Genomic DNA, 13,104 nt, shown 5'->3' with positions numbered 1-13,104 from the left:
TTAGATTTCTCTTCTTCCTCAGGGACACCAATTATTCTTAGGTTTGGATGTTTAACATAGTCCCAAACTTCTTGGAGGCTTTGTTCATTTTTTAAAATTCTTTTTTCTTTGTCTTGTATGGATGGGGTTAATTCAAAAGCCTTGTTTTCAAGCTCTGAAGTTCTTTCTTCTGCCTGTTCGATTCTATTCCTGAGGCTTTCCAGTACATTTTGCATTTCTCTAAGTGTGTCCTTGATTTCCAGAAGTGGTAATTGTTTTTTGCTTATGCTCTCTATTTCACTAAGAATTTTCCTTTCTTATTCTACATCATGTTTTTGATTTCTTGAAGTTGGACTTCACCTTTCTCTGGTTCCTCCTTAATTAGCTTAATAATCAACTTTCTGAATTCTTTTTCTAGCAATTCAGAGATTTTGTCTTGGTTTGGATCCATTGCTGGTGAGCTGGTATGATCTTTTGGGGTGTTAAAGTAACTTTTTTTGTCATATTACCAGAATTGTTTTTCTGGTTCCCTCTCATTTAGGTAGACTATGTCACAGGGAATATCTGGGATTCAAGGGTAGCTGTTCAGATTACTTTGTCCCATGGGGTGCTCCCTTGGTGTGGTGTTCTCCTTCTTCCCCTGGGAATGGGGCTTCCTGAGAGCCAAACTGTAATGATCGTTTTTGCTCTTCTGGGTCTAGCCATCCAGTGGAGGTACTGGGCTCTAGGCTGGTACTGGGGAGTGTCTGCAAAGAGAACTGTGATGTGATCCATCTTCAGGTCTTGCAGCTGTGGATACCAGCACTGCTCTGGTGGAGGTAGCAGGGGAGTGAAGTGGGTTCTGTGAGGATCTTCGGTTTTTCTGCGTCTCTTCTAAGATATGTTTGCCTAGCCTGAAGTTAGAAAGACTTTCTCCTCTGTTTTCTTCTAGAAGTTTTATAGTTTAAGATTTTAGACTTAATTCTATGACTAATTTCAAATTAAATTTTATATCTGATGTAATGTAGAGGTTAAAGTTCGTCTTTTTTAAAATTATGCTGTCCATTTCTGAAAACAATCCTTCACTCTGTGGAATTACTTAAGCATCTTTGTTAAAGATCAACTGACTACATAGGTGTGGTCTAGTTCCAAACTCTGTACTGCTCCATGGATGTAGACATCTTTTTATGCTAATACCGCACTGTCTTAGTTAATGCAGGTTTGTGGTAAGTCTTGCAATTAGGTAGTGTAAATTCTATAAAATTTTTTAAAATTGTTTTGGCAATTGTAATTTTATAAAAATTTTAGAATTAATATAACAATTTCTAGGGTAAGAAAAAAAGAGCCCAGGGGATTTTGATTAGAATTGCTATGAATATTTGAATAAATTTGGGAAGAGTGGATATCTTAATAATATTGCATCTGCCAATGTGAACGTATTTATCTGTATTTTTAAGTATTTAAATATTTTCATAATATTGAAAATGGCATAATATTTTCAATTTCATTTTGCAATTGATGACGCTAGTACATAAAAATATAATTTATATTGACCTATTCTGTGGCATGCCAAAATTATATCATTATTTCTAGCACCTTGGATAATTTAACTTTCTGCCAGAGAGGATTTACTTTTGCTTTTGACAGCTAGGGTATTAGTATTTCTAGATCACTTTAGTACATTAGTAATCATTATGATTCAAAGCTGGACTACAGCTCCTAAATAAGTGATCAATTTTCATTTTAACCTTATTCTTGGGGTACAGTACTCTGGGGTTACAACCCAAAGGCTGAGGATTGAGGCTTATCAGAGGAAACTTCCTGTTGGTGGACTGAATTCCAATTTCTATTCTCCATTAATTGGGGGGCTTTTAGCCATACTTCCCCAATAAGTAGATGTTGCTGGGATGTAGATACATACAGCACCCTCTCACTTCTTCAGGTTTCCTTTTTTTTTTTTTTTTTTTTGAGACAGAGTCTCGCTCTGTCGCCCAGGCTGGAGTGCAGTGGCATGATCTCGGCTTACTGCAACCTCTGCCTCCCGGGTTCAAGCGATTCTCCTGCCTCAGCCTCCCGAGTAGCTGGGACTACAGGTGCACACCACCACGCCCAGCTAATTTTTGTATTTTTAGTACAGACAGGGTTTCACCATGTTGGCCAGGATGGTCCCGATCTCTTGACCTCGTGATCCACCCGCCTCAGCCTCTCAAAGTGCTGGGATTACAGGCGTGCGCCACTGCACCCGGTAGGGTTTCCTTTTCTTGACTGAAATTCTTCATTGTGTTTTTAGCTTTCCATTGTCTGCAATCAGATACTTTTTATGCTTTTTCCAGATCTAAGTTATTTAGTCCACCATTATCAGAGACTTCCAATTTATTCTTTAAATATCAACATGAGTAATACTTCTGAATTATTATCCCATTATATTTGCCTTCTTTGAAGGATCATTTGAAACCACTGAAGTAATGTTTAAGTCATATTAACATTCCGGAGCTCTTTAAAAAGATATCTCTAAAGATGTATCTATTCTCAGTACTATTTTAGTGCCAAGGTTTACCAAAGAAAACAAGGACTTCTTCATAGCCTCAACTATAATTTTGCAAGTTATTATTTACCTTCCCTAGCAGCATTCATAATAACCTATACACATATTTTATTTCTCTATCTGTATGTTTAATTTATATTTGTGTTACTGGTGGAGGGGGTCCAGGTTCTTGGCATTTTGAACAAAGAATTGGACAAAATGCACAAAGAACGGAAAGAATGAAGCAGCAAAAGCAGAGATTTATTGAAAACAAAAGTATACTCCACAGGGGGGAGCAGGCCTGAACAAGCGGCTCAAAACCCTGGTTACATAATTTTCTGGGATTTAAATATCCTCTAGAGGTTTCCCACTGGTTGCTTGGTGTAAGCCCTGTGTAATTGGAGAGGATGAAGTGAAGTTACAAAGATATTTACTTGTTGTACACCCTATGCAAATAAAGAGGATGTTTCCTGACATAGCTGAAGTGGAGTTACAAAGTTATTTTCTTGCTCTATAGAGTTGGAGTTTTTTTTCCATTTGATTTAGTTCTAGGAAGTCCTTAGGATCCCTGCCTTTGGACCCTATTTTCCTGCCTCATTTGTATAATAATTTCAGATGTCCATAAGTATGTGTTAACTACAAATTTATCAACCTCAAAACTAGCTGAACTTGCCTTTCAACTCCTGTTTTGCTTAATGCAGAAAACTTAATTCTCCAATGCAGCAAATTATGGATCGTTTTTGTTAGTCTTTATGTGGTAAATTCACACTCAATTCTAGACTTTCTTCTTAGCATCTTGGTCTCCCTGGGGACTACAAATGTCCCCGGAAGTTATGCAGTATTCAGGAAATGGAATGAAGAAAAGTTTATCTTCCCCTGTGGCATATATCCTTGCATGCAATTTTTTTAAGGAATTATTTTTTAGACTAATTTGAGGTTCACAGCAAAACTGTGAGGAAGGTACAAAGATTTCCCATATATTTCCTGGCCCTGCACATTCATAGCCTCCCTCGTTAACAACATCCTCCACCAGAGTAGGTGGTAACATAGTGGTGAGATGTGAGAGAGGCGAAGCGTTCTATAGTCCCGTTGTTAGGTCTCAGTCTTTTAGTGAGCCTGTGCCTCTGGACTGTGAACTTCAGAAGTGCTTCTCAGTTCCACTTTGAGGAGATAGCTAGAGTAGGCAGGAGTTGAGTATGATCTTTCCTTCAGGTTCATTAGGCTTTGATAAAACCCTGCAGGTTAGGCTATGGTTAACTAGTTTCTTCTGAGGACAGGCCTTGTTAAGAGCAGAGTGTTGTCACCTGTTTCAAAACGGTTTCTATTTTTCTCTGTCTGCTAGAGCACAAGAGAATTTTTCTCCAATATTTACTGTGAGAACCTGATCAAGCTCTTGAAAATAAAACTTACAAAAATATGTTAAGTGTCAAAAAGATTGACAAGAGGAATTATTGATTTTTCAGTCTACTGAACTTTTATTTGTTGTTTGGACTGAGTGGTGACTTTCAATCTTCTTATGTGATAAACTGGAAACAGGAAGTCTGCATGCAATTTTGAGAGAGAGTTTAGTGTACATCTCCTGGTGATGCCCATTGTCTTGCCACATTCCGTGCTTCCTATTATATGTGTTGCATTTATTGACAGTATCCTTTCATTCCAAATCTTAGTCCTCTTTCCATCTTCTAGTACTCTCTTGAATATATCTACACATCTCATGTATAAGAAATTCTTGGATCTTATATGCACCAAGCGACAGTGCATAATGTTTTATGAGTCCAGCCTCAGATCTAGTTACCTAGGAATATAACTCAACCATTGCTGCTCTTAACACACAATAGGCTGGAAAGGCAACTTCCCTCTTCTCAAGCTATACACTCTGGGAAGTGAGGCACAGCCCCTCTACGGTTTCTATGATCTCCCTACATCTGGGACTTTGCCTGAAATAATCACAAGGCAAGCAATATTACATTGGCATCCAGGCTCTCCTTCTTTTTCTTTTCTCCCCAAACTCCTTTATAAAACTTGAAAAGTGTTTTTACTCTTCATTTAGCATAGAGGAACATTAACTTTCATATCAAGTATTTCTCAAAACTCTATTTTTATAATATATGTAATTCCATGTACTTTTGAAAAAAACTTTCTTAAAAAGTTATCTCCTGCAATTGAAATGTTAAAGATTATTGTTTTTGATATGTTATGTAAATTCTATTTTGAAACTCAACAGGCTTCTTAGATTGATTTATAATCTGCCATTTCCCCTGAGATGATGAATGACACTGATTTAATGACTGGAGGGCCTAAGGTCAATGAGAATATAGAGGAAAAAACTACATATTTAGTTTTAAAAATGAAAGAACATACACAGGTAAAAAAAAATAAGAATTGGATTTCATTAGGAATGATGTAGATCTTTAAACACACAGCGCCATGGTTCTTTATAGATTGTCTTGGATAATATCAATGATTTCATGGTAAACTTGATCATAGACATCTAATCCAAACAAAGAGTCTATATGATTGTAGTAAGAAATAGTTTTATAATAAATGTGGTTTGTGATTTCAGAATGTAAAATGTTAACGTCTTCAGGGTCAGCCAACAAGTCACTTTTACCATTCCAAATTGCAGTTGCCACATTCATGTTTGTCATGTTGTATAATGGAGACGTTGTCTGAAAATAAATGAGTGAAAAAATAGTTTTCATAGGAGATGATACAGTAGAAGGTTTTAATTACTAATTGTTAAAATGATGAGTTTAAATACTGTTTTAAAATAAGTCAAATCTAATGGATTCAACTTACTGGATCTGTTGAGACAAAGGTATGAAAGTATGAATAGGGATTACAAGTTTTACTTGAAAATAAGTCATACATAAATCTAAACTAGACAGTTTGTTCTAATTCAAAATATTCGAACATTTCACAGAGGTAATTTCAGTACTGTTTATAAAACATGAAAGATTTTAAATCAAATTTTCTGTAGCAGTATTACTGTCAATATGTTTGTCAATAAATTATAAGTATTGGCAGTCCACGTCAACTCTGATCTCTTTGAATTTGATCTTCAAATTTTATATGAAGATCAGACTTTTATATGAACAGATCACATCAGCCTGGCGTTTAGATGAGACAGAAAAGTATGGAGGAAAAGCATAAACTTTGGAGTCAGACAGACTTGGGTTCTAGTACTTCAATAATTTTGTCCTTATACAATTTTTACCACATTCTCATTTACTTCTAATTTTTCCTAATTATTATATATGTTTTCTTATCTTTCCAAATAGAATAACTGGTTTTAGGGTGAATAAATATATTATGCCTTTTACTTCTTATTTAACCAAGTGTAAAGCTATGGATATAAAAAACGCAGTATTTTTCCTCTTGAGAGATAATAACTTCTTCTACTGCCTGTCAATTTTTCTGGACTTATCCGGGTTATTTGTTGTTAAAATACATAGAAAACATGGAAAAGCCACTTTGGTTGGATGTGACAATACGTATCCAAATAAACATTATCTTCATCTGCTGGTCCTTAATCAGTGTGTTATTGTACTGTGGGGATTTACAGTTGATCCTTGATCTATAGCAAAGTTATCTGAAAAAGTCAGTAAGGTAGAGAGTTTTTATAGAGAATTATGTACCTGATTATAATGAACCAAGTTCAGATCAGGACTGCCCCAGTCATAAGCTTTCAAATGAGTAGAATTTAAAAGCTGAAAGAGAAACAAAAAATAAGACCATATCATTTGTTCATTACAGTGGCAGCTGAGCAAGTTAAGCATGCAATGCATATATACCCCCATTGTACTGGGTCTGCTGGTATTTATGCAGGTGGGCTTCTTCGTTCTTCTTTTCCTTTGGATAGGGAAATAAATGGAAGGGGTTGGAGATGGGGGCAGGGGAATCTAAAGAAATAATTCCATTGTCTTTATATGAATGTACATATACCCAGGGCCTTTTTCTACCCAGAGGGGGGCCTCTTTTGGGAGAAGTAACATCAGGCTCCCTCAAATCTTCAGCTTCATCAACAGAGGTCAACGCTGAGTGTCTTGCACTGAGACTAAGATAACACCCGCCTAAAACACCATGCTTCAAACAATAGGGCTCAAGAGTTTGTCCCAGAAGTCACTTTTTTCTTTACCCCTTTACACTCACAGCCTCACCACCACTTTCTGGCCAAGGTTACTTATGACCTTGACATTTCTAACACTTTGATCAATTCTGAGGAACTTTTTCATGTTATCCGTTGGCAGCACTTGACATAGTTGTTCATTCCCTCATCCTTGAGATCTTTCCTTCACTTAGCTTCTAGAATACCACAATTTCTTTATCTTCATTTTTACTTTGTTCCTTTTCAGCTTTGTTTAGCCAACTTAGTTTCTGCCACCTGACCTGTTAATCTTTTCAGATCTCAATACCCAATCCTTGCTCGAAAGGATCTTGCTCTTCTGTCTATACTCACTTCATTTGCATTTTTGCCTCTGGCTTTTTGTATTCTCACTCTCTTGGCTTTACATGTCATTTATATTCAAAGTGTTTATCTTCTTTTATAAGTCTTTCCTAAATTCTAGGCTCCTATATACAACTGCTTACTCAATGTCATCAATTAAATATCTAAAACTTATTTTACCTTTCCTCCAAAACCTTCATCATCAAACCTCCCTATCTCCTTTAATGGCAATATTACCTTTTCATTACATAAGTCAGGAACTTTAGAATCATCCAAGACTCTCTTTCTCACTCACCTCTTATAGAGTCCTTCATTAAATCTTGTTGCCTGCATGTTCATGATATACATATGTTTATTCAGACTCCATTCATTTTCACCACCTCCACTGTCAACACATCAGTCCAAACAATCATCATTTCCCATTTGGATGATTGCAGTAATTTTCTAACTCTCTCACTGCTTTCACTCTTGTTCTACTATAGTCTACTCAACATAGCAGCCAATGTGTTCCTTTTAAAAGTGTAAACTATATCATATCACTTTCCTGCTCAAAATCATGCAGTGCCTACTCACTTCACACAGAGTGAATGCCAAAGTCCTTACAATGACATGCAGATCCCTGTCTTACTCATTATTTTTGCCTCCTTTCCCTAAGTTTCCATGTTCCAAATGTCACCATCTCACTGAAGCCTGGCCTAACCTTTCTATTCAAAAGTACAACCCACTTCCCAGCATGCCTAATACCTTTTCCCTACTCTTTTACCCCAATTTCTCCATAGTTCTATTCCCTTCTAACACATTATAATAGTTTTTAAAGTTGACATGGTTATTGTTTATAATCTATATACCTACAAATAATATGTAAGCTTGAGGATGACAGGAGTTCTTGTTTTGTTCACTGATGTAGCCCATGAACACAGAATATTATAGGGACATAGTAGGTATACAATAAATATTGTTACAATGGTTAAATAATTGCAAAGGTTGTTTAGATTTTTCTAGTCTACGCATCACCAGAGAAGAAAGTATAACTTACCTAAATATAAGTTATAATAAATGTTTTCAATAATTTATATCAAATCAATTACATTATAGATTTAAACTTTCGTAAATGAAAAAGCCTTACCCAATATCTTAACAATACTTTAAAGTTACCTAGTGTTTATTAACTTTAATGTACATTCATAATCATTAGCCTTTTCAATTCTTACAATATTTTTCTTAGTTAAATCAGAGAATTATTAATTTTACTTTAAAAATAAAGGAAACTGATTCAGGAAGATTAAATGAGATGCTCAATGTCACCCTGCCACTAAGGGCCAGAGAAAGGATTTAATTTCTGGTCTTTTGATCTGAGAAAAGTGTTCTTTCTACTATGTTATCCTGGTTTTCAACATTAAGATTGCATTCACACTGGATTTTTTTTATCAATATCATTAATTGAACAAATATTAGTTGAGTATCTACTATATGCTAAGAACTGTTGACCTTGGAAATACAAACGTGAACAAAACTTCTCATGGTTCTCAGGAGTTGACAATTTAACGGAGGAGAAAGTGCAGTCTAGTGAAAGCGTTTCAGAGTAGGCATTAGGATAACTAACTGTGTTCCGGTCAGATTTTAAAAGTGGAATAGCTTTGAAGCATTGGGCAAGTCGACTGTGGGACATGGCCTAAATAATCCCTAGTCTACTGTTGTAACATTTTCTTATTTGTAAAACTGATATTTATATTGCTGTAACAGTACTTAGGTTTAGAGAATTAATTAAATTATGATACTAACATTTTATTTTTATTTATTTATTGAGACAGAGTCTTACTCTGTCACCCAGGCTGGAGTGCAGCAGTACAGTATTGGCTCATTGCAACCTCCACCTCCCGGGTTCAAGTGATTCTCCCACCTCAGCCTCCCAAGTAACTGGAATTACAGGCATGTGCCACCACACCTGGCTAATTTTTGTATTTTTAGTAGAGATAGGGTTTCATCATGTTGGCCAGGTTAGTCTCAAACTCCTGACCTCAGGTGATCCACCCGCCTCGGCCTCCCAAAGTGCTGGGATTATAGGCCTGAGCCATTGCGCCCAGCCTCAATATTTTATAAACTGTAAGGAATTATAGAAATATATAATAATTTCATTTTATCCTTATAAATTTATTACTCTATGGCCATGGTATGATCCCTAGAATAATGAGGTAAACCATGAGTAGCATGAATTAAATTGTATGGAAATGCACTTTAGCAGTTATACCTGACTCCAATGAAGCATATTTTGAACAGATGTTCCTGCTGGGTTGTGTGAAAAATACACATCCAAACGACTCTGAGGGGTAAAAAAAAAAAAAAAAGCATTTTTATATAAGTTGAATCATAGAGAGCATAATCTTTTAATATTTATTGAACTAAATTATTTCAAGAAAATTTAATTTAAAATTAATCATATTAATAAACAAATCATCAAATTATTTTAATTAAATATACTTATTCAATTGTACAATTTTTAAATTAATATAGAAGCTATTATTGAATTTCTAAGTTATTTCGTCTGCCACTCACTCTACTGGAAACAATCAAATGTGACTGACACACACCTATACAGACACATACACATACACCTTTTGAAAGCATTAAAGAACTAACAAGATAGAAGTAAATTACAAAAATAAATTGAGGAGAGAAATAAAGAACCCCCAAAGACAAGCAAAGAAACAAAGTCAGTTTGTTTAAGGTTATTTGTCAGTCCAGGAGAATGTGAAGTTTCATTCTGAGACCTTAGCTTGTTGAAAAAAACAAAAAATCAAAGTCTAAGGCCTGTCAAAGTTGAAAGATTTTAAAAAGAAACACTCTCCATAAGGGCCTCAAATTCTATAGTGCCCAAGGTAAAGCCATAATGTTAATCTGTAATCTATGTTTGCATTGCCTAGATAGTTCCTGGAACCTCAGTGAACCAGACATGTAGAGTACTGATCTCAAAGTGACCTCAGGTGCCTTGAAAAAGCAAGCAAGTTTTATTTCCACAAGAAGAAAAGGCCTGTCTTACTATTCCAATTCTTAGTAAAAATTTCTCAAAATCAGTTAACCCTACTCAAAGAAAAGCAAGTATATGAAGAGAGAGGTATCATGTAAGAACAAGCAAAAATGAAAAAAATTATTTTAAGAAGCCTCACAAATATTTTTGATGTTATCAGATGCAGACTATAAAAAATTATTCAGGTTTACAGAAATTGTAAAGCAACCACCAGAGGACAGGAACCTTAAGAGAAGAAAAATACAAGAAGCAAACCTTTCATTAATCCCAACTTTCATCCTGCGGACATTTTCCAATATGGTGCAGGGAATTAGAGCCAAACAGAGAATGGTAGTCTTGCTGGGCAGAAGAAACAGAAATCGGTCTGTGTGGGTGCTATAGAGTTGGACTAAAGGCCATAGATTACCAGGAGAAGTAGTCTCCTGAATTAAAGAGAAGTGAATGAAATAAGGCCAACCCTAAAGTCAAAAAATGGGCACTGACAATTAGCTAAATGAGCCAAAACTCTTGAAAGGGTAACTGCCATGGTTTGAATGTTTGTTCCCTCCAAAATTCCTGTTGGTTGCCATTGTGGTGGTGTTAGGTGGGATCTTTGCGAGGTGATTGAGCTGTAAAGGCTCTGCCCTCATGGATGGGATTAATGCCATTAAATCCCAGCAGTTTGGGAAGCCGAGGTGGGTGGATCACCTGAGGTCAGGAGTTCGAGACCAGCCTGACCAATATGGTGAACCCCATCTCTACTAAAAATACAAAAATTAGCCAGTCATGGTGGCGTGTGTCGGTAGTCTGAGCTACTTGGGAGGCTGAGAGAGGAGAATTGCCTGAACCCGGGAGGCAGAAGTTGCAGTGAGCCAAGATTGCACCACTGCACTCCAGCTTGGCTGACACAGCAAAACTCTGTCTCAAAAAAAATAAAAAATAAAAAATAAGATAAAATAAAAGGGTGAGTTTGGCTCCCTTTTGCTTCATTGTTGCTTCTTTGCCCTATGCCCTTCACCATGTGGTGGCATAGCAAGAAGGCCATTGCCAGATGTCAGTGCCTTGATCTTGGACTTCCCAGCCTCCAGAAGTGTGAACCAATACATTTCTGTTCATTATACATAACCCAGTCTTGGGTATTCTGTTATAGCAACACAAAATGCACTAAGACAGTAATTTAACCAAGAGAATGTGCAGCATACTATTCACAGTCCCCTGCAATCATTCCTAGTCATAGAGTGAAACAGGAAAACACAGCCAACAATTAGCACATAAAACAATCAGCAAAAGCAGATGCAGAGATGCTGCAAACATTAGAGTTAGCAAAAGCTTTAAAATAAAGTATGATTAATATGCTAAATAAAATATTTTTTAAAGTTTAAAATGGTCATGAAGGTAGAATATTTTAACAGATAATTAGAATTTATTTTATAGTCAAATGGACACTCAAAATAAAAATACAATGTATAAACTTTAAAATTTATTAGATGGATTTAAAAGCAGACTATACACAGCAAGAGACAGGATTATTGAACTCAAATTCAAGCCTATATAAAATATTCAAACTTAAGCACAAAGAAAAATAAAATAGAGCAAAGAAAGATGTTGGCCACTGTCAAGTGGTCCAATATTTTGAAAGAAGAAAAAGAATTGAAATGCTAATGGCTGAGAATGTTTAAGTTTGATGAAAGAAATTCAGTGTATCCCAAACAGTGAACCCCAGTTAAACTGGTATAAAGTTTTTGCATTATTTAGGATGTGGATATAAACACAAACTTAACATAAGTAATAATAAATGATACATTTTATAATTTCTAAGAGAATAATAAAAAATATTTCTTAGAGCAGTAACAAAATAAGAGAAGATAAAGTAAAGTATTAAAATGTATTTCAGAAACACAAAAGTAGTCAAGAAATGTGAAATAAAAAGAATACCAGATAGGACAAACAAAAAGCATATAGCAGGATGATAGCCATAAATCTAATCTTAATAATTATATAAAAATAAATTTACTAAATACTGTAATTCAATTAAAAGGCAAAGATTGTCAAATGAAAATATTGTTAATACTATAACTGAAGACATAAAAGACAAGCTTTAAAATATCTTTGAGGAACAATAAGAACAAAAAAAACCATAAAAATTGACTCATCAGATTGAAGATGTGTATATATATATATGTGTGTGTGTGTGTGTGTGTGTATATATGTATGTATATATAAATGTATGTGTATATATATACATACATACACACTGTGGAATATTAATCAACCATAGAAAAGAAAAAATTCTGCCATTTGTGACAGCATACATGAACCTGGAGGGTACTAGTAAGTTAAATAAGCCAAATAGAGAAAGACAAGTACTGTATGGTATCACTCCTACGTAGAATCTTAAATAAATAAATAAATAAAAGAGTGAGCTCATAGAAACAGAGTAAAATGGTGGTTGCCAGGGTCTGGCAGGTGGGAAAAATGGGGACATGGTGGTCAAAGGGTATAAACTTTCAGTTATATAGTAAATACATTTTGAGGATTTAATGTACAGGATGGTGACTAGCTAATAATACTGTACTGTATACTTGAAATTTGTTAAGAGAATAGATCTTAAGCATTATCACCAAAAATATGACTATGTGAGGTGATAGATGTGTTAAACTTGATTGTGGCAATTATTTCACAATGTATTTATTTGTCAATTGTACCTCAATAAAAAGAGAGAAAATTTCTTTTGTTTCCATTGCCATTCAGGCTACTTGAAACTGTCAAAAATAAAGTTCTGACTGAACAATTTTAAATAGCCTGTACAGAAATTTTTAACAGAAACATTCTTCTCAGGTATTTATCATGTCCTCTATATATTAAATTAATATAATATATTATTATAATATAATATAATATTTTATATTATTGTAATAATATAATATATTATATTATTAAATACAATATAAAATATTATATTATTAAATATAATTAAATTATATAAATTTAAACTCAGGTATAAATTAAAACTCAGGTATTTATTATGTCCTCTAATTATAATTCTTCTCTGTATTTGAAATAAGCTCCAATATAATGCTTAGTTTTCTGGTACACTCCAGATATTCCTTCCATCATGGGTCACTACTGTTTACCTTAATGTAGGTCAGAGGCTTATACAACCCAAATCGC

General features: G+C 34.8%; 1 protein-coding gene across 10 annotated transcripts in view; it reads right to left on the bottom strand.

The window, feature by feature from the left end:
• The window catches only part of LIPJ (lipase family member J), a 40,278-nt gene that overhangs the window by 11,360 nt on the left and 15,814 nt on the right, over positions 1 to 13,104 (bottom strand). For 8 of the 10 annotated variants that reach the window (NR_172141.1, XM_006717635.4, NM_001010939.3 and 5 more), the window contains 3 exons: positions 9,178 to 9,249; positions 6,121 to 6,192; positions 4,849 to 5,151 (listed from right to left, as the gene is read on the bottom strand). Coding sequence is in view for 9 of the 10 variants with exons in the window: in XM_006717635.4 (XP_006717698.1) it covers positions 4,918 to 5,151; positions 6,121 to 6,192; positions 9,178 to 9,249 (378 nt within the window). In the remaining variant the exon portion in view is untranslated. Of the gene's footprint in view, positions 1 to 4,848; positions 5,152 to 6,120; positions 6,193 to 9,177; positions 9,250 to 13,104 lie in introns of those variants that run through there. The other 2 variants (XM_047424642.1, XM_047424643.1) reach the window with 2 other exon arrangements.

Source organism: Homo sapiens, chromosome 10 (assembly GCF_000001405.40).
Source record: "Homo sapiens chromosome 10, GRCh38.p14 Primary Assembly".
Taxonomy (NCBI): Eukaryota; Metazoa; Chordata; class Mammalia; order Primates; family Hominidae; genus Homo; species Homo sapiens.
The sequence above is the reverse complement of the archived record's forward strand: the minus strand, read 5'-3'. Positions and strand labels throughout refer to the sequence as shown.